This window comes from Homo sapiens, chromosome 6 (genome assembly GCF_000001405.40).
Source record: "Homo sapiens chromosome 6, GRCh38.p14 Primary Assembly".
Classification (NCBI taxonomy): Eukaryota; Metazoa; Chordata; class Mammalia; order Primates; family Hominidae; genus Homo; species Homo sapiens.
In genome coordinates this window covers 142,901,422-142,923,431 of record NC_000006.12, presented here as the reverse complement: position 1 = coordinate 142,923,431, position 22,010 = coordinate 142,901,422, and the positions used below count along the sequence as shown (strand labels likewise).

The 22,010-nt window shown below is 37.9% G+C and overlaps 1 protein-coding gene across 12 annotated transcripts in view, besides 5 other annotated features; it reads left to right on the top strand.

The window, feature by feature from the left end:
- Positions 1-22,010, top strand: part of HIVEP2 (HIVEP zinc finger 2) — a 194,265-nt gene that overhangs the window by 22,302 nt on the left and 149,953 nt on the right. For 3 of the 12 annotated variants that reach the window (NM_001438450.1, XM_047418712.1, XM_024446417.2), the window contains exon 2: positions 21,695-21,768. The exons of 4 other annotated variants lie outside the window; for them this stretch is intronic. The gene's annotated coding sequence lies outside the window, so the exon portion shown is untranslated. Of the gene's footprint in view, positions 1-6,171; positions 6,237-12,293; positions 21,769-22,010 lie in introns of those variants that run through there. 5 more of the 12 variants (XM_047418708.1, XM_047418715.1, XM_047418714.1 and 2 more) reach the window with 4 other exon arrangements.
- Positions 9,430-9,519: an enhancer, noted in NCBI's record as "active region_25188". NCBI's record gives its function as "activates an Ori minimal core promoter by ATAC-STARR-seq in GM12878 lymphoblastoid cells {active_cell/tissue: GM12878}" and the evidence as "EXISTENCE:reporter gene assay evidence [ECO:0000049][PMID:35858748]".
- Positions 9,540-9,619: an enhancer, noted in NCBI's record as "active region_25187". NCBI's record gives its function as "activates an Ori minimal core promoter by ATAC-STARR-seq in GM12878 lymphoblastoid cells {active_cell/tissue: GM12878}" and the evidence as "EXISTENCE:reporter gene assay evidence [ECO:0000049][PMID:35858748]".
- Positions 9,850-9,919: an enhancer, noted in NCBI's record as "active region_25186". NCBI's record gives its function as "activates an Ori minimal core promoter by ATAC-STARR-seq in GM12878 lymphoblastoid cells {active_cell/tissue: GM12878}" and the evidence as "EXISTENCE:reporter gene assay evidence [ECO:0000049][PMID:35858748]".
- Positions 10,552-11,408: an enhancer, noted in NCBI's record as "OCT4-NANOG hESC enhancer chr6:143233161-143234017 (GRCh37/hg19 assembly coordinates)". NCBI's record gives its function as "activates a minimal SCP1, AML or CMV promoter by ChIP-STARR-seq in primed H9 embryonic stem cells {active_cell/tissue: H9 hESC(primed)}" and the evidence as "EXISTENCE:reporter gene assay evidence [ECO:0000049][PMID:30033119]".
- Positions 15,806-16,095: an enhancer, noted in NCBI's record as "active region_25185". NCBI's record gives its function as "activates an Ori minimal core promoter by ATAC-STARR-seq in GM12878 lymphoblastoid cells {active_cell/tissue: GM12878}" and the evidence as "EXISTENCE:reporter gene assay evidence [ECO:0000049][PMID:35858748]".

Sequence of the window (22,010 nt, the reverse complement as noted above, 5' to 3'; positions counted from 1 at the left end):
TAGCATTAACTATCTTATTTTTAAATGTCATCTGTTATATTTTGGTTCATGCTTATCTTATTGTTCACTATTAAATATTTAACTATGATTTTTTTTTTTTTGAGACGGAGTCTTGCTCTGTTGCCCAGGCTGGAGTACAGTGGCACGATCTCAGCTCACTGCAACCTCCGCCTCCCGGATTCAAGCAATTCCCTACCTCAGCCTCCCGAGTAGCTGGGATTACAGGCTCCCACACCATGCCTGGCTAATTTTTGTATTTTTAGTAGAGACAGAGTTTCACCATCTTGGCCAGGCTGGTCTTGAACTCCTGACCTCGTGATCCACCCGCCTTGGCCTCCCAAAGTGCTGGGATTACCAGGCATGAGCCACCGCGCCTGGCCTAAATATTTAACTATGAAATATTTATCTCTTATTAGTGGTATAATTATTTACTAATTACTGATTTATTGATAATAGTTTGTTAGATGTTGGGCAGGATTTATATTAAAACATGTTTGTTTTCTGGAGAGTACTATGTGTTTACATGAATACATGTTCATATAAATACTATGTATTTACATGCTCATACCTGCAAAATAATAGGAGGGGACAAGACAGTCTTTTAAAAAAATCTGTTTTTGAGGCTCTCTAGGGATGTACATGTCATAATTCTTATTGAGAGCCAGTTCTGTTGCTTAATCAGACTTACGACTGGAAAAGAGGCAGTCAGTATAGAGTGGGACCAGAACTGTGGGTTTCAGAGCTGGCCTGCCTGGGTTTGAGTACTGTCTCAGTTACTTTCTAGTTGTATGACTTTTGGCAAGTTACGTTTATCCCCTTAGCCTCCAGTTTGCTCACCTGTAAAACCAGGATACCTCTTAAAACAGACCTTATGAGGCTTAAGTGTACTAATATATGTAAAGAACCTGGCCTGTAGTAAGCACTCAATAAATGAAGTTCAGGCCACTCTGGATCTTACTATTTTAAAATTTTAGAAGTATACTTATGTGGTTATTTATATTTATTAAATGCGAATTGAGAGCTTGTGTTGCTATCCCCAAAGACATCATAGTCAAGTGAAGGAACTGACTTGCAATTCAAGAATTAGGATATTGGAATAAGGGCAAAAGTAGGGGGAAGCAGAGGGTGAAAAGAAGGGCCTGGAGGGAGCCCTAAACCCTCCTTGCAGAAGAGGTGAAATGGAACATTCCCTCAGCTGCCTTTGGAAGGATCAATAGACACTGAGAGCAGCTTGGTGAGAGTTTGAGAATGCATAGCGAGTTTGGGGAATTTTAAAGAGCTTAGTATGGCTGAAGTTTAAAGGACAAGTGGGAGATTGTGAAAAATGGGATAGAGATGTAAGATGAGGCCAGATCCTGAGGATGTGGACTAGACAGAGAGGAGGGAAATGAAGAAAGGGTCACGTCTTAGACGCCAACGAAGTTGAGTTTCCCCAAAGAGACTTTAAGCATCAATACCATATGCTATGGAGAGTTAAAGTAAGATAAGAACTGAAAAGTGATTAATAATTAGGAAATTGCCAGCATGTAGTTTGATCTGTCATTTGCTATTTAGGGTGATTGACTATTTAAGCTTTGATTTTTTGGAAGTGTGGAGAAGGCATTTAAATTAGATCCCAAAGTTTCTGACTAAAGGAGGATTAAGTCCTAGATTTCCAAAAGAAGTTTGACAATCCTTTTTCTCCCTAGTTATTTCAGATTAGGATTAACTACTGGTTTGAGATTAATACATGGCCTGACTTAGATTGTAATCCTCAGTAGGGATAGGGCAATAGAGCCTTATTTTATCACTGTAACTTCAGAATCTGATGGGATTTTTAGTTCATAATGATAATTAAAAAAAACTGAACATCAGACACTTTTCTAGGCCTTTTACATGTGTTATCCTCTTTTCTTTTGAGGAAGAGTCTCATTGTATGACCAAGGCTGGAGTGCAGTGGCACAATCTCGGCTCACTGCAACCTCTGCCTCCTGGGTTCAAGCGATTCTCGTGCCTCAGCCTCCCCAGTAGCTGGGATTACGGGCGTGTGCCACCACGCCTGGCTAATTTTTGTATATTTAATAGAGACAGGTTTCGCCATGTTGGCCAGGCTGGTCTCGAACTCCTGGCCTCAAGCAATCTGCCTGCCTCCCAAAGTGCTGGGATTGCAGGCATGAGCCACCTTGCGCAGCCTATCCTCATATTTTAAACTTTTTATTTTTTTGAGGCAGGGCTGTTTGTCTTCTTATTTTATAGATGAAAACATTGGAAGGGCAGAGAAGTTAAATATCTTGTCACACTGCTAGTATGTTTTGGAGCTTGCATTTAAGCTCCGGCAGTCCTAATTCAAATCCCAGACTTTCCTTTTTCATGACCTGCTTCCTTACTGTAGCTCTGTATACTTTTGCTGAATGAATGGGTGAATGAATGAATAAATTGGGGAAAAGAGATGGATTTATATATGTATATTGAGACAGGATCTCCCTCTGTCACTCACTGTGGATTGCAGTGGCATGATAATAGCTCACTACAGCCTCTACCTCCTGGGCTCACAGGATCCTCCTACCTCAGTCTCCCAAGTAGCTGGGACTACAGGCATGTGCTCCGATTCCCAGCTAATTTTTTAAATTTTTTGTAGAAATGGGTTCTCCCTATGTTGCTTAGGCTGATCTGGAACTCCTGGGCTCAAGTGATCCTCCTGCCTCAGCTTCCCAAAGTGCTAGGATTACAGGCGTGAGCTACCATGCCCAGCTGGATTAATAAATTTTTAATCCAGACTAGTCAATCTGAGTATAAAATTTTTTATCTCCTTGTTGGTGGTAGGTACCTCATCCCTTTTATTTTCTTCAGAGAAGTTTATTCTTCTGTTACCTATGTGATAACCCAGTTTCTAAATTCTTGAAGCACAGGATGTATTCAGGAATTGATTTCCTGGAAATTAGGGAATTTCCAAATGAGTTCTCCCTCCTGCTATCCAATAAGAATCATGGGGTCTTGGTTGTCAGAGAGGAGGTCTTTAATACATACCTGTGATCTGGATAGTACAAGAGTGGACACCATGGGTAGGGCTCAAAGTGAAGCCGTGAGCCACTCACATGTGACGGAGGACTAGACCAAGGTCAGCTCTGCATGCCGAACCTTTGGAAGCCAGGACTTCGGAGATACAAAGATAATTGAGTGACAAATAAGTAGCAGAATATGATAGAAGGGATATTATCCTTACATTTGTGACTTTCTTTTTAGCTATAACTCTGTGACCTCATGTAGCAGTTACACAAAATGGGACTGTAATTCTTACCTTTGGAGATAAAATGAGTGGTAGAGGAAATGTTTGTTAGGCTTATAGAAAGATCCAACTATTGTGTCTTTACAGTGAACAGAATAATTAAATTTGATAGAACCAACTTTCCTACTGTAGAAATACTTTTAAAGAGTTTATGTCTAATGACATAAAAATATACTTAGGAAGCTCTGTTTTTATACAGAACAAAGTGTTTTTCAACTTCTGTTGTTACATCCTTTGAATAGGTTAACATTTCTGCCTCCTTTGAGGACTAATTCTTTGCTCTTTCACATCAGTGACCAATGTAGAGTTTGCTTACATTTATTTACAACTTATTAACATTACTAGAGAATAGCACACTAAATGTGAAAGGAACAGAGTAAGATCCATGTCAGGGTATCAATTTTTAACTCAATAAACTTATCAGTATTTTAAAATGCCATTTTATTATTTTTGCATAGATAATGTATATTACATCTTATTTCCCAAAGCTTAATAGGTTTGAACATGGACTTTATTTGTAGAAGGCAAGTAAGAGAATAATTATAAAAGTGGGTCTTTGAGTAGAATAATGATAAACTTACCCATATTATAAACTGCATTGTGACATGTGTTTCCTTAAAAGAAATGTGATTCTGAAAAAAATGGCTTGCATTTGAGCCTGTTACTGTGGATCTAGATTTGCATAGAAGACATTTATAGACGGTTCCTGATGTGAGCTGCAGCTGGTAAAATACATTCCTTACCTATCCAATAAGAATATAATAGGATTTGCTTTTTAATTTTTAAAGCACAATTATGAGTCAATATTAAACTATAAAGCTCTGAAACTGGCGAAGAAAACAACTATCAGGAAGAGAGCAGAGAATATTTTGTATATTTCACATAAAGGGCATTTAACAGTATTGTTTTCTAATTTTACTTTCATTTCAATCTGTTTCATTAAAAAAGAAAGTTGAGGTGACTTGCCTCAAAGGTCTGTATAATTTTTGAGGCTTCTTTCTGCTTGTGTTTTTGTAACTGTAAAATAAGAACACACTGAAAATATACTGGAATTAAGAAAGCCAGTGTGAGTAAATGAAAATGTCATTAAATTTGGTAGAGAAATGGACAGATGGGTAACTTGAAGTTAATAAAGACATAAAAATCAAAGCAGAGGAATGTATTTTAAGAATAAAACAATCTAAATTGCATGACTTAAAAGTAAAATAATAGGTAGGGAATTATGTATTATAAAGAAACATGAATGTGTTAACTACAGGTGTTAATATTTAAAAAATTATAGTGGGAATGATTTGAGACTTCAGACTTGGTTACATGGCTTTTATGACATCACTTTTTCTAAATTACTGGAACCTGTGTTTGTTTTTACATTGTTTTGTCATGAGAAAATACATTTATATAACTTAAGGCTCTTTTCTTCATTTATTTCACCTTGTCTTCAAAAAATTACATGAACATGTTAATTCCCTAAAAGTGAAAGAACATTATGTTTTTTATTGGTGAATAAGAAGTTGTTATGGAGTGCTCTATTTTTACAGCTGTGCTTCAGGGTATCACGTTCTGAAGAGGTCAGCTTGGCATGATCTCATGGGCATGAATCTTGGGGAGACAATTCTGAAACAGCCACAGGCCTGCAGCGTCGCAAAGCCAGGGCAGAACATCCAGATGCTGTCGTTAGGAGGCACGCGGTCTGTTAAAGCTTTAGGGTGGAAGACCCAGGAGGATGCAGCTAGAAGAATGCCGCATCCACATTCGTGGCAACTCTCTGGGTGCTGTTGTAATTTTAACTCTTGAGTTCGTTTAATAGAAAAAAATAAATAGGGCTGTGAGCGATGGCTCAGGCCTTTAATCTCAGCACTTTGGGAGGCCGAGGCAGGCGGATCACCTGAGGTCAGGACTTTGAGACCAGCCTGGCCAAAATGGCGAAACCCGGTCTCTATTGATAAATAAATAAAAGTAAATAAAATAAATAGGGAAAAATAAATAGGGAGGCAAAGAGGAAAGGGTTTAAGGAAAAAGGTATTGAGACTGAAGTAGAGAGACTGTTGTAGTTTCATTTCATGGCTCACATTGTTCTTGTTAAAATTACAGACGCTCCGGGCATGATGGCTCACGTCTATAATCCCAGCACTTTGGGAGGCCAAGGTGGGTGGATTGCTTGAGGTCAGAAGTTTGAAACCAGCCTGGCCAACATGGCAAAACCTGTCTACTAAAAATGCAAAAATCAGCCAGGCGTGGTGGTGCATGCCTGTAATCCCAGCTACTCGAGAGGCTGAAGCAGGAGAACTGCTTGAACCCAGGAGGCGGAGCTTGCAGTGAGCCAAGGTTGCTCCACTGCGCTGTAGCCTGGGCAACAGAGCAAGACTCTATCTCAAAAAAAAAAAATTACAGAAGCATATTATGATTTTGAGAAGGTGTGTGAAGCTACTTTCTTTATCTGATAAGAGCAGAATTTCTGTGTCTAATACTCAGATATGATTATTTGGGATATGGATTAGCTTTGCTGTCTTTACTTTGGACTCCTCTGTATCAAGGTTGGTGGTAGTTGAGTACATGTGTGATTGGAAGTTGTTTATAAGATTCTTATTTAATGAAATAAGTTAGGAAATACTAATGTTTTCCCATCATTTAGAAATATGTGTTATATTTTTTATCATCACTGTTAATGAGAATAAAATTTGTTATTTGGAATCCACATGCACTCAGAATTGTTGCCACTTGCAGCGCATGTAGTGTCACGTGGATGTCATTCATACCTGTTGCTTCTGCTGCGGTGGCTGTCACTGTCCCTATGCAGAGCTGTACCAAGATCTGCACTCAGAAAATTTTGAGGAAAATTGTTTAATAGGGTTGGAGTGATATAACCTTTGTTTTCATTATTCATGTATTCTGTTTTTCATATCAAGTAGGTTGATGATCCTGGAGAAGAGAGAATTAGTGATAAAACCAACAGTACATCACATACGAAACTGTTAGTAAAATTTTATTTACTTGTTTTTGGACTATTGGAATAAGAGTAGCAAAGAAGTTATCAACTAATCACCTTTGAAATTTTGGATGAGTGACATAAGTTAATAATTGCTTATGGCAGCATAATTATTAACAGTACAATATTAGAAGAAGTGCATTTAAAATATAGTTAACATACAGTAAACCAGCCTGTCACATTTATAGTATGTCCATTATGCTACAGTAGAAGCCTTAGGAAAATTAAATACTGTATGTATCTTTCTAGAGAAATAATTTCCATCATAATATGGTATACAATTAAAACAGTAGTTTCTTTCAATATGTAAAGGATATTTGCTTACTGTTGATTATTTAACAAATACTTATTGAGTAGCTGTTAGGTGCTGGATGCTGATCTGAGAGCTGGGGATACAGCAGGAACAAAGAGTTTCAGTCCTCATTGGAGGACCCTAATCCATATTAATCTGACAATCATACAGCTGTAGAATTATAAATTAGTTGATAACTTCTTTCCTACTCTTATAATTATAAATTATGCTTTTAAGGTGCCAGGAGAGAGGAGAACAGGAGAGCTTCATCTCTTTGATGAAGTCAGGGAAAGATTTTTCTGAGAAACGGATGTCTTGAGCCCAAATTGACTAATGGGGAGCATTAAATAAGTGAAGGGGTTGGTGGATTCTCCAGGTGGAGGGAACAGCTAGGGCACAGGACCTGTGATCAGTGGGATCATGGTTCTAATCAAAGGCGTAAAGGAACACTGCTGTGGCTGGAGCACCAAGAACAAGGGAGCTGCACAGGGCTTGGTCCACACAGGGTCTTATAAACTCAGTTTAGGATTTTGGTCTTCATCCCAACTTGAATGGAAACCCATAGAAGTTGTTCAGACATGGGGATGAAAGGATTAGATTTGCATTTTGAAATTTACTTGGACTATGTAGTTGAGCTTTGCATGGTGAACAAATTGGAGGGTGGCAAGATTGGATCTAGAACTAGTCAAGAGATTACTGCAGTAAACCAGGGAGTAGATGACTACACTAGACTAATCCACTACAGTGAATTAAAGAGGTAGAGGTGGAGACCAGAGAAAGATTGGTGAGATTTGAGAGATTTCCAGGAGGAGAAATAGATAGGGCTTGATAGTACCTGTAGAGAGTGAAGGAGAGGACGTAGCCTAGAATGAGTCCTAAGTGTGTGGTCTGCATGCCTGAATGGGCAGAGGCACAATTTATTGGGATGGGGCTCACTAAGGGGAAAGCCAGGTTTAAGAAAGTGGTGACTTTTGTTTTTGGATTTGTTGAGTTTAAAGCGGCTTTGAATTATCTAAATGGAGATGCCAAGTAGTCAGTTGATCATAGGAGTCTGGAGGAAGGGGTGGTCTGGAGATGGAAGTGGGTGTCCTTAATGTATAGATGGTGTCTGAGTTGTAGTGGATGAGAGGGTGTAAAGAGAACAGAGACGAAAAGAGAGTGTGGGGCTAACTCTGGAGAAACCCTAACTTTTACAGGCCTGATTCAAGGGAGTGATGCCACCAAGATTAAGAAAGGCTGGCTAGAGGTCCATAATAAAAGAGAGTCCAGTGTCATAGCATCTATGTGAGGAGAGGTGCAATAGAGATTTTGCCAGGGCTGCTGTGATAAAGTCCCACATGCTGGGTGGCTGAAAACAAAAGACATCTATTGTCTCACAGTTCTGGAGGCTGCAAGTGTGAAGCCAAGGTGTCAGCAGGGTTAGCTCTTCTGAGGGCTGTGAGGGGAAATCTGTTCTGTGCCTCTCTCCCAGCCTCTGGCCATGGTTTGCAATCCTAGTTGTTCCTGGGCTCCTCATTACTGTAGTCTCTGCCTCAGTCTTCATGTAGTGTTCGCCATTTCTGTCATGTTGGATAAGGGGCCCACCCTACTACAGTGTGATGTCATCCTAACTAATTACATCTGCAAGGACCTTATTTCCAAACAAGGCTGCATTCTGAGGTATGGAAGTTAGAACTTCAATGTTTCTTTTTGGGGGGCCACAATTCCACACATAACAAGAGGATTCAAGCAGATTTCCCTCTTGCGTAAGGCTCTCCAGGGGAAGCAGTGACAATCATGACCCAGTTCCCATTCTTACACAATATTTTAATATTATTGTGTCCAGTGAGGTTCAAATTAAGTGTTTAATGGTAGCTGAGGTAAATGTAAGGAGTAGGAATAGAAAGAAGATTAAATGGGGGAGAAATAGTGGGGAAAAACAGTTCTTAGAGGAGATGAAATTTGAATTGGGCCTTAAAAGAAGGGGCTCAGGATTTAAATTTGTGGAAAGTTGAGGTAGAAAGGGCATTACCGGAGAAGAAAACCTGCATGAAGTCTTCATCTGGAAAAATATTCAAAGCCTTCAAAAAGTAGGAATCTGCTCTTTGTCACTTAGCATAAAAGAACCATGTTCTTGCTGGTTTCCCTTTGTATGGAAAGAATATTAGATATTTATGTTTGATGAAGAGACTTTTGGCATGAGTAAGGCTGGGTTGTGCATTCAATTGATTTAGTTAACAATTATTTATTATGTACCAACTACTATGCACCAAGGGCTGGGGATACATCAGGTTTTGAATAGTCATTTAACCTCTCCCTGCAACACTTCTGCATCAGCCATCATTTTAACACACAGTTTATGAGTAAAAATGTGTTGATTGTCTGTTATGACTCTGCCCATTTTCAGAGTCATAAATTTAATAGTGACTAATAATTACTGAGCAGCTTACTCAAGACCAACCGCTATTCTAAATACTTGACCTAAATTAACTAATTTAATCTTTATCGATACTTTATAAAGTAGGCTCCAAATTTCATAGACTCTAAGGTATCATCGGTTGTAAGATGGCATTTGATGTACCTCTAAGAAAGGAAAACAAAGATTCCAATTTTTTTTGAAAGATGCCATCCATAGTAAGACACATTCTGATTTCAAAAATGTTAAAATATGAAAAAAAAGCTTATGTCTTAGAATTGGTAGACCACTTAAATTTGATGGCACATGATAACTGTGGCTGACATGTGAGAAAATGGGGGCACCAAGAAGGGTCAGTTGCTTGCCCACGGTTACCTACGGATACGCAGTGTTAGCTCAGGTTCTGCTTCAAGGGGCTGCTGCCAGAGCCCATCCCCAGTACTATGACTGCAATCTCCAAGCACATCTCAGGCACTTTTTTTTTTTTCATATACTGAGAGCCTGATAATATTTCAGGGCTCTAACCTGACTGAGTTTTGCGGTACACTGTGGTGGGAGAGACACGTGCAAACGTGCAACTTGCTGCTGGTGATCCGGCTGATCAGGGACTTTGCTGGGCCAGTCTTTAATTTACTACTTTTTATCAATCTGGAATGTTGACGATGAAGAAATGCCACAATGGTGAGCCACGAGATGGCGTGGAGGTGAGGATGGGGCAAGAGTGGGTGACTTTTCTTGTGGAAAGTGATGCATCTTTGGCCCTGTTCTAAGTTTCACTTCCTCTGAAGGCCACATTCAGCACCCCCTGCAGTCGACTGTGCTCTCTGTGATTGTCATCAGTTGTGCTCTCACCACGTTACTTGGTTTCATTTCCCGTGTTTTACCTTTCCTCTGGTCTATGGTGGCCCTGTAGACACCTCTTTCTTCCAAGGCTTGTGGGAAAGTGCCTAGAAACTTAGTTAAGTATGGCAATTAGATACTTAGTTAAGTATGGCATTGAAGCTGGCAAAAGAAAGCAGTGAGCAGTGAAGTACCAGTGTGATAACTCTTCAATCCTTTTTAGTATTTTCTGTCTTCATGGGGACAGCCAGTGTGCCCTGATCCATGGGTTTTCCCCCTCAAACTGGTTTATTGAAAAAATCAGATATTGTTCATACTTCAGGTACTTTGAAACTATCCAAATGATAGCATGAAGGAAATGTACGTTTTTCGTGTTTCAGAAGTCGTCAGAGTGAAAGTAGAAGTTCTCATTAGCATCCCAAGGCTTGAGTTTTTGAAGATGTTGTAACAGCATGAGTAAGAAATGAATTGATACAACTTTTTGACAAGCTCATCCTAAGCTAAGCAGTTCGGTTCCCATAGGTCACCATGAGTCCTGGTTTTGTCTCCCTGCTGTGGTAAGGGGCCATCCTCTGTGTGCTGGCTGATGACAGTCTTAGTCTCCTCGTCTGTAAATTGGGGATAACAATACCTCCAATACAGCCCAGTGCTTTTCTGATTTATGTCTGCTAAGTACATTTTCATACCCACTTCTAAAATCATTTGATTTTTTCTTCTCCTTATAAATGTGCAGCACAAGCAATAATTCCACCTAAGCATCTACCTCGTAGGAATGATCACAAAACCTTACCATTCTTTAAACTCACAGTCTCCAACCTTTTTGGCACCAGGAACCAGTTTCATGGAGGAGAATTTTTCCATGGTGTGGGGATGGTGGATGGTTTCCGGATGAAACAGTTCCACCTCAGATCATCAGACATTAGATTGTCATAAGGAGCATGCAACCTAGATCCCTCGCATGCGCGGTTCACAGTCGGTTTCACGCTCCTATGAGAATCTAATGCTACCGCTGCTCTGATAGGAGGTGGAGCTCAGGCAGTAATGCTCGCTTGCCCACCACTCACCTGGTGCTGTGCGACGCGGTTCCTAAAAGGCCATGGACCATTACTGGTAACTGAACATGACCCACTGGCCTTGAGAAGCTGACTGTAGAGGAGATGGATGTGCACGTAGCTATCAAGCCAGGATGAAAACAGCCACGAGAAGAGAGGTGTGATGAGGAGAAGGGGGAAGGGATTTCTGAGGAGAAATATATGAATTCTACTAGAGGGGCTTGAGAAGCCTTAGTGGGAGGGACAAAAGTTCGATCACTGTTATTAGCATGTGTTTGGAACTAGATGTAAATAACAATGGTTGTATACACTGAGGCCTGAAGTTGTCTTTTCAGAAAGACTGACACTCTGGAGCAGTGCTCTCCAATTGAACTGCATTGGCCAATATGGTAGCCACTAAACACAAGTGGCTTTGGGGTACTTGAAATGTGGCCGTGCAGCTGAGGAACTAATTTTTAAATTTTATTTAATGCTAATTTTATATTTAAACCTAAGCAGCCACATATGGCTAGTGCCTACCATACTGGATAGCACAGCCAGAGGAAACCTGCTGTCACTAACCCAGTATGGAGATTTCAGATAATTATCTTGATCACAAATCAAATCACAAAGTCAGAGACTTTGATTGGCTTTTGCTTTTCAGTATCATTAGCCATAAGTACTAGCACTGAAACATCCATTAGACACTAAAATACAGTAACTCATTAATTATGAAATGATGAGCGGTCAGTTAAATTAGTCAGTGATACCCTCGACACACACACTCATGCATAGATCTACATGCATGCACACATATCATGCACACATACGCATCACAGACACACAAACACTCACACACATTTCCCCTGATTGTTTCTTGAACTGGACAGAGGGAGAAATATGTTTTTGAATGGCTTGTTGTCTCATTTCTGAGACAGTGAATTAATGATCCTTCTCCTGGGAGCAGTGTCAGGCTGAGCAAAGAGTCCCTGATGGAAGGAAAGGACCAGCTTTGTCCTATAATAAGAACCCTGCAAAAAAGGGTCTCAGATGATTCTTAGTCTCCTCGTCTGTAAATCTGGGGATAACAATACCTCCTCTGTCTGCCTCAAAAGATAATATATGTTTATAAAACCTTCTTTTCAGGGAGGTTTTCCCAAACCAATATCTCATCTTTTTAATAAGCCTGCAGGACACTTCTCTTTCTGTGTTGACTATGGTACCAAGAGATATGATTATACATATTTTCTCCTTGATCTTAAATGCCCTATGGCAATCATCACACCTTTTTAGAGACCCACTTGAAAATTGCTATGTTTAAATTCTGCCCCAAACTTGTTTTAGAATTCTTCCTTTCTGAATCCCAACTGTATTCTGTTCAGTCCTAGGCTCTGCCCCTCTCAGCACGTTTGTCCTCTATTCACTGGGCTCCCCTGAAATGTTGTTTGTGCTTATTTTTAAGTTTTTTTTTTTTTTTTTTTTTAATGTGTTTGTGCTTTGTCTTCCATATTAAAGTGGAAACTCTCTGGGTAGAGGTGACCTTTAAACTTTATTGTCTTGAACTTTTTAAACTTAATTTTATCCAGTGCATTGCAGAGGGTGGCATTCATTAAATTTTGCAGACTGGTAGTAAAATAGAGGACTTGAGTCTTTAGGGCTCAGACTGACATTTTCAATGTGTACTCTTTGGTTATTTAGATCAGTGGATTCAAGCTGTATCATGCACGATGGTCTTTCAAGGAGCGTTAAAAAATTCAGGCCCCCATGCTCTACGCATGTGATTCACTAGGTCTGAGGTGAGGCACAGGGAACCTTAATGTTAAGAGGTAAATTAGGTAATTCTGCTGCCGGTGATCTGAGAACTACTCTTTGAGAAACAGTGGTTTATATATTAAGATACCATTTCTATGGACTGTACTTAAAGAAGACTTTTCTGGCAGTAGGGATCTTGCTTCTAAGCAGAAGTGTAGGTTTGTTGTTGTTGTTGTTGTTTTGTTTTGTTTATCTTTATTTTTATTTTTTGAGACGTAGTCTCGCTGTGTCACCAGGCTGGATTGCAGTGGCACAATCTTGGCTCACTGCAACCTCTGCCTGCCGGGTTCAAACAATTCTCCTGCCTCAGCCTCTCATATAGCTGGGACTACAGGCATGCGCCACCACACCCAGCTAATTTTTGTGTTTTTTAGTAGAGATGGGGTTTCACCATGTTGGCCAGGATGGTCTCAATCTCTTGACCTCGTGATCTGCCTGCCTCAGCCTCCCAAAGTGCTGGGATTACAGGCGCAAGCCACCATGCCTGGCCTGTTTTGTTTATTTTAGAAGAGAATGAGAGAAGAGTGGGAAATTTTGTTGGTAAAACATTTCTTTAAATTATCTTCTTAAATGGGTGGCATGGTCAGTTGGGTAATAGAAATATCTCATCAGAAAGAAACGGATAATGCATGAAATGATTTTATCAAACTGCAATGGTAGAAAATACCTATTCAGCCTTCACTCAGAGCTTGTTTGTCCTTATTTTAGGCTTAGTTTTAATAGGCTTGATGATCTGATTGGCTAGAGATTAGGAGCAGTATATGGAAGTCAAACATTGTCACTGGTAAAGGATGGCATGTTGACTGCAAATGTAATCACTGACAGCCTGAAAGTGAAGAAGGAAATAGATAAACTATAAAAATCAGAAGCAAGATCTTAAAGATCAAAATATAGGCCACTGGAGGAAACAAGAGTGCAGGGGTAAGCAAATGTAAGCATCTCAGTAGCTTCAGAAGCTGTTACTGTGTTTCCCCCAATTTACAGTAGCTATTTTTTGATCTTTCTACTCAGAATCTAAGTTCTACTAGGGCTGAGACCATGCCTGCCCCATATGATACTGTTATCTCCAGGACTTAATGTTGTACTTGACTCATAGAAGAGGCTCCCTAAGTATTTTCCTAGTAAATGGAAATAAATAAATGAGTAGGTTTGCTATGGTGATCTATGTTTATGATAATGACCCTGAGATATTTCTGATTAAAAACAGAGGCAGTTGGTTTTTTTGCATTTTAGATATATGTAATCTCAAAAAATGTTGGTGTATAAAGCCTTATTAAACATGCTTAATATATATTCATTCATTCCTCAGTGACCTCCTCTCTAACACTGCTGCACTCTCCCCTGCCTAGTTTATATTTAAATTGTCTTAAAATCATGGGATTTAATTTTCAGATTATAAATACTCATATATGTAGATATATACTAAAATATTTTGAATCATCTGCCAATGTATACTATACCATTGCTATGTAAACACAGCATCTTTTAAGGTCTTGAAAAATGTTCAGATAGATTTTTGTCTATAGATAGTAGAAATCTGTGTATACCAATTTGAAGCTATCTCTTTCTGTATAGCTAATGCTTTTATAGTTAATTGTTCTTTAATAGATCATAATGATTTCCTTGGGTCATGATATATTTATTAAAATAGGTATTTCAGCATGCATTCTAATTAAGAAAATGCATGTTATGTGTTAGGCAGACACACAGGCTCCATATAGTAGAGACAATAACGTTTAGATACCTCTAAAATGATACACCTGCTCTTCAAGTGTTTCAGATTTGTATCCCTAAAATCTGCCCTTTAATAGACTATTGTTAATTAAAAAAGGAAAGTTATTTTTGATATTCTACAAAACAGGTTAAATTATGCTTGGTTCCTTTGTACTTTGTTTCAAAACTGTGTTTTTAATTCGTTGTGTAGAATTCAGAATTTTTTTTTTTTTTTTTTTTTTTGAGAGGTGGTATCTTACAGAGTGGAGGAAAAGATGAGAGGAAGTCTTTTTCCATAGGTACATATTTGGTCTAAGGCAAAATTTTGAAATAGGGAAAAGTATGTTTTTGACAGTGACATCCTACCACTTAGCACCCTTCTCAACCCAGTCAACCTGAAGGCACCAAGTTATCCAAATTTAGTTCTTGGTCTTTGATTGCTATAGTCCATTCCAGTCTAAATCACTCCTTTAAATTTTTCTAGTTCCAAAGTCATCTGTATTTTCTTACCAATCAAAGGTCCCAGCCAACAATTATTTGAGTACCTGTTCTGATTTTGGCAATGGGCTAGAAACTATATAGAAATAAATGTGAACCCTACATCATGTTCTCAGAGAGAATGCAATCTAATATTGTTAATGGCAAGCATGACTAACTCATTTTACTGGAAAAGACAGAATATGCAAAAAACAGGCATAAACCAGATGAAATGAAAGTTCAGAGAAAAAGACCAATTGCATGAACCAGGAAAGGTTTTTCTGGAAAATGTGGACCTTGAGGATTGGTTAACATCTTTAGAAGCAGCGATGGGTTGGAAGATGGACATATGTTACAAGTGAAAGTAGGAACACCACATATGGCTGCCCAAGAGTTGGATTTTGTAAAATCGTGAGGGCACCATTCAAATAGAGTATGATATAAATGGTGGCATGAGTGAAAGTCAGGAGATGGGAAATATACAAGGTTAGGATCTGAGAATCATAAGTAGGAAGGCCTGGACCATGTTGTGATGGAACTTGAATGAAAGAGTGAAGTTGTTTTGCCCTGTTCTTTAGGTTGTTGTGCTAAAAGTCCTTTCAGACCTCTCAAACTTTGAGTTTCTTTGATTTTCTGTAATTCAGTTGGTAAGAGAGAGCTGAGGAAGATTTTTGAGTAATGGAGTGGCTTGAAATTTCAGAAGATGAAAGATTAGTTAGAAATACATGGGGTGAAATAAATCGAAAAGTTATTAGACTTTAGATATGTTTAAAGTGGTTCTGCTCCTTTAAGGCCATCAAAGTACAATTGGAGTATACATCATACCGATGCTCTAGGGGAGGTCACAAGAACAGACGTTTTTGGATTGGTCCTGAGCGCAGGTCCTCTCTGTTGAATTGCCCAGTGGACAGCCTGTTGATCACAGCTGTTTGTTTATGGGGTTTCACTCCCTTCTTGAGCTCCAGCTCCATGAATCGAGAGCCCCAAAAGGAGGCTTGTTAACAGGCTGCTGGAGTAGGGTAGAGGCAAAGTAGTGGGGCTCAAATTACAGAGGTGAAAAGGAAATTTATTCATTCATTCATCAAACCTTTACTGAGTACGACTCAGGGTAAGCAATGGCTTTGTGTGCTTTGTGTATATTCACTATCTGGTACTGTTTTATTGCTTTGACCCTTTCTTCCCCCAAATTCTCTAAAAAGTTTTAGATTTCTTCACAACAGCTGAGACTCTCTAGGGGTAACAGTAAGACTACTGGTAGTGCTAGAAGGCGACAACCCGGGGAAAGCAGCAGCTGGTTTTATTTTTGGTTTTCGTCAGGTGGTTGTAAGTTGAGAATTGCCTGTATTCAAACAATGTGATTTGGTAGTGTATACTGAACTCCCATAGAAATAATGGATGTAGTACAATCACAAGGATAGAAATGAACAATCTCCAACATCATATGCTAGATAGTAAACTTTTTAAGCACTTGGGCATGGATTAATAGCTTAAAGAGTATGAATATGCTACGGACCATTCACAGTTTCATTTCATGTAAGATGTAGGTCTTGCTTTGGTTACAGAGATCTGGCCATTGGTGAACTCTCCTGTGGAACAGTCATTGTTTTATGGTAGGTACTGGTTGATGCATTTGGGAGATTTAATTTTGGAGCTGACTAGCTTGCTGTAATTTATTTGTTTTTGTCAAGTTTTTAATTTATCACAAAAGCAATATTATATCACCAATAAAGAAAAGATGCATAACTATCTTATAGGCTTTTATAATGTATCAACTTGATTTTTAGAATTTTTCCTTGTATATTCTTTGATCTTTGCCCACATTCATACACTTGAAATAGTTATAATCATGATATTGATACAATCCTTACTTTCAAAATCATTTTTATAAACACTTTCATTTTGCATATTACCATATTCTGATTTTAATGGCTGCATATTTTTGATCTAATTTAATGGTGACAATTTTCTAAAAATCCCCTTATTGCTGAATATTCATTTTTTTTTCTTTTGGGGTTGTTTTTCAAAGGGAATGAATATTTTTTATCATACATGGTCCTCATTTTCAAATTGCTTCCCATTTTTATCATGATTGTGCCAAAGTAAAAATTTTGACTGCATTGTTGTTTTGGTTTGCATTTTAATAATAATTAAAGAGGTTTCTTTATTTGTTACATTTCTTTGTCTGGATTGACTTGGCATATCTTTTCTAATTTATTTCTTAGTTATTTTTTGAAAAGTAAGTTTCTATGAGCTTTTTATATATTTTAAATATTAATTCTTGTTACCTTATATCTACTTGGTTCTACTATTTCTCAATGTGATTTAATTCTCGTTTTGTTATTTTGCACATTTAAATGATATTAGCTTTACCTAATCTAGATTATCTGTTTCTGGTTAGTTTTTCATGAATGCCTTCAAAGTTATTTAAAAATTACAGTGATAAAGATAGTGTTGTTCTCTGATTATTGTTATTATTAATTTTTTTTTGAGACAGAGTCTCACTCTGTCAACTAGGCTGGAGTGCAATGGTGCCATCTCAGCTTACTGCAACCTCCACCTCCCGGGTTAAAGCAGTTCTCCTGCCTCAGCCTCCCAAGTAGCTGGGATTACAGGCATGTGCCACCACGCCCAGCTAATTTTTGTGTTTTTAGTAGAGATGGGGTTTTGCCACGTTGGCCAGGTTGGTCTCGAACTCCTGACTTCCAGTGGTCCGCCCCCGCCTCGGCCTCCCAAAGGGCTAGGATTATAGGCGTGAGCCACCACGCCCGGACTGATTATCATTTTTTATGTTGCTTCTTGGTCTACTGTCAAGTGGCTTGGATTCTTACGGACTTGTATATTCTAAAACCATGACCATGGTGGGGGGAATTAACAGTTTGAACCATTAATAGTTAAAGGGTCTATTATGTCATATAATTTTTTCAGATTAAATGTAGATTTATAGATTGATAAATTAGACAGTAAATGAAAACTATATGCAGGAATTTCTGAGTACAGTGAATCTGGCTAGTAAATTAAGAATTGTATTTAACCTCAGGTTTTAAAAACAAAAATACTTATATTTATTAAACACTTGAAAAACACTCCATGTTTGGAAATTATTTTTTTCCATGAGCTTTTGAGCATTTGTAACACTACTTTCCAGTGTCTTGCTTTTAAAATGTAAGTAATAGTACATTTTTAAATGTGAGCTCAACTCACCGGTCGTTTGCAGAAATCATTTTAGTGGGCCCCCGTATTGATTACCTAAATCATGCCTTGTTGGTTTTCTTTTTCTGAGGCTCAGATCTTATTGTGTAAACAGGATGCACTTTTGGAATTTATAGTGCATTTCAAGATTTTCTTTATATTGGTTTAATTGATCTTATAATTATTTTAAAATAACCTAAGTTATCTGGTAATAGTTTATTGGTAGATGGTTGAGCAGTATCTTTCTTAACTCTTATTTAGAGATGGGAATTCAATATGTCTTCCAATATTTCATACAATGGAGGAAGGATTTAAAAAGTGAATGAAAGGTTGTTTTCCCTTAGTTTAAAAAGATAAATTGTAATATCCAAAATATTATAAAGTAAGTGGGCAACCCAAATCATCAAGATAGTTAAGAAAATATAATTAAGTCGGTTTTAACAAATCTTAAAAGGAGAGGAGTCATACTTGTTAGGACAAGCTTATGCTAATGACATATCAGCCTGTGTTATCCCAGGTCAATAGATATGAAAACCACAGTTTACCCAGGGTTACTTAACTGATAATAATAGTGTGAGGATAACAAATTGAACTGATACAAGTAGAAAGACTAAGAATGATCTTCGGGATAAATGAAAACAAATGGATAATAAACTGATCTTGCTGAGTAATATAGGTTATGGTGTTATGCTTTAAAATATCAGTATTAATAGAAATATTCTTATGTTCCTTTGTTCTTTTAAAGGGTAAAAAGGGCTGTTTATCTTTTTTTGATCATGTCATCAGTTTCATTGGGTTGCCTTATTTTCATTCAGAAAGAGTATGGACTAATATCCATATTGAATTATGATTTAGACTTGAGTGTACTGGTAGGAAATTTATCAGTTGTGTGTGTGCAATAGTGCTTGGAATGAAATGTCACATTCACCTCTGATACTGCACCTACTGTGTTTTCTCATAGGCTTAATTTTGCCTTTTCAAGTTTGAGGTCCTGTTGTTCAACATGAACAACAGCTTTACAAGGAACTATGTAATTTACATTGTTAAAGGAAAGTATATGTGACACTGTAACCTTTTTACTCTAGCATTGTTTTCAAAATGTTAATTACTAATTTTTCCGGAAATGATTTTTAAAGGTAAATGTATAAAACAGATGGGTAAATAATATTTGGGGAGGATAAGTGTGACAAGTGGGGAACAAAAGTAGAATGTGTGTCCTCAAATTCATCTTTGTAATTTCCCACTTTTTCATTTGGAGGTACTTGCCAAATACGAGTTGAAATTCAGACAGGCTGAATTGGGTTTTTAAGTCTAAAAATGACTGGAAATTTGGGTTTAATATTGCTATGAAGTTTTGTGTTTAGTCTGAGGTAAGTGAGCTTGCTGCATCTCAGTCACTTCCTGCCCCCTCCATATTCCTCAGTGCATAGCTGTGTTCCATCTCTGTGTATATAGTGCAAAATGATCTGTCACTGTTAGGACACTTCTGGTGGAAAAGGTTTTCAGAGATTTATTTAAAGTATCAAATTGCTACTAAGATGGAATTTTTTTTTTTTTGCTTTGGTGCAATCATTTGCTTTGTTTTGGTGCAATCATTAGCAATAAAGCAAGAATGAAATGGATGAGAGAAATGAGTATCGTAGACTCTAAGAAGACATCCTTGTTGATAACACTCTTTAAAAAGGAGTCCAAGAGAGCACCACCATAGTGGTGATTTCACCTTTTTGTTTTGTTTTGTTAACCTTGATATCAGAATTAGTGTGTGAATTAATGGGAACCACCGGAGTCATTTTTTTTCTGCAATTTTGTACTGGTATATATGCATATATGGTACTGGTACATTAATTTATGGGGTCGAGCAGGAATGCATAATGCATTAGTATTATAACATAGTTATAACATTAATATTTTGTGGATTCTTCAATACATAGCAATTAAAACAAAATGATTGTACTCCAAGTACAGAAATCAGGGAATAGTTTCAATAGAATTTCAACTTAAGAGATATTTACTTACATACTGAGAGTCCATCAAAGTGAAGTCCAAGTCCAGGACACTGTATAAGTGAAGTACTATGTTTATTTCAGAGTTTCTTAAATTTATGCTTACTAACTGGCATAGATAAGAAGGGAAATGGTGGTTTAAAGTGTACATTCAATCAACAGCAAGGGCTGAACTATTGAAAATGTTGTGTTCTGTGTCCAGAAAACATTTTATTTTCACATAATTGTTTAAGTGTCTCCAATGAACATTTACAATATTTATGGGGGTATAGTGCTTGTGGTTCAGTTAGCTCAGTCTTAAGTTCTGTGCCTGGGTAATGGTGTGTTGTTTAGCAGTAATTCTGAAATTAATTATAATAAAGGAGAAAACACCAGAGAAAAATATCGGTTTACTGCTCCTAGTTTTACAACAAGGGAACACTGTTAGGAGTTCCAAAGTAGCGTTAGTAGTTCAGCGTTGAGATATTTTGTCTCCTCACCCCCCTGTCTCCAACATCCTGTTTCATCACAAATGTTTATCATTTTACTCATTGGTTCTCCACCCGTCTTGTGGGCTGCTGTGGTTGCTGTCACCCAGCCAAGAGGCTGGGGAATGCCTGTCCACAAGCAGTAAGGGGCATCTGGCTAGGGTGCTCAGAAGTTCCTGAGCATTGTAGTATCAGCATTGTGAGGCCATTGAGATAGGGAGAGAACAAGCCTATTTAAATAGCTGCCAGAACAATCAATACAAGCACCATTGTTGCTAGTCATAGTGGAAATATACACACTGTCTTTAGCAAAGAAAAAACTGAAGTGTACACCATTTGAAGATGTCATACTGAGGTGTTCTGAAAGCATCAAAAGAGAAGAAGAAAAATTCCTATCTAAACAATATTACTATCTTAAAAAGGCTATTCTATTTGAGTGGTTGTTAACTGTTTTAAAGAATGGTTTGGTTTGCCTGAGAAGTTTATTTGGTATTAATTAGCTACTCACTTTAAAAATATTTAATATGACACAAGATACAATATGATAGTACCATGGCACAGTCTACTTGTTTCAGATGGAATTGACATTTTGGAAGAGTATGGGCCAGGAATTTTGTAGTCTGGGCTTATGGGTTTTGGGGGCAGAATACCACCAGGCGAGGTTCCCATCTCATCACATTATGTTAGGAATTGTGTCACATCAACATGCCTTATCACTGGTAATATTAACTTTGATCACTTGGTTATGGTAGACTCTGCCAGGTTTTTCCATTGTAAAGTTACTGCTTTTTCTCTCTCTGTATTCTATTCTTTGGAAGTCAGCCCACACCTAAGGGGAGAAGAATTAAGCTTTATCTTTGAAGGGAGGAAATATCTACATATTTTATTGATTGATTGATTGACTTTGGTGTGGACTCATGGATATTTATTTTATTATTTGGGTTATCATCTAGTGCCATCACTATTTTATTCCTCATAAACTATTTTCTAATTCTTAAGATTTCATTTTGCAGAGCACTCTAGCACTAATATTGTGTGTAGCTTAGTGCAACATTTTATCCACCTGTTTTGCCTCTTCCTCCTCCGCATGTTTGCACTCTCATTTTTTCAAACCGATAGATTCAGTTTTGCTGTTCTGGTTAAGACGAAGGTCATTTTCGTAGTCAAGTTGTAATGCATGCACTGTGGGAGGAGAAGTCATAATACAAAACTTCTTGTCGGCAGATTGGCGAATTTACCTGAGACATTGAGGCTCAAGATTATGAGAATGTGTGATAGGACCAAAAGCATATTTCCAGGTAGGAAATCAAAATTGTTTTATTTAACTCCTTTGCATTTGATTTTGCAGAAGTCAAATCACTGATTTCTTAGGAGGTACAAAATCTGAAAAGGAGGGGCAGCATAGACATTGAGGTTGTGCTAGGAAATTACTTTGTTTTTCTTTCATTTGATTATTTTATTTGATTTCCAAACAATAGGGTAGTAGCTAAGTTTTGAAACAAGATCTGAGAGGAACTTGCAGAAGCATATCTATGTTTGC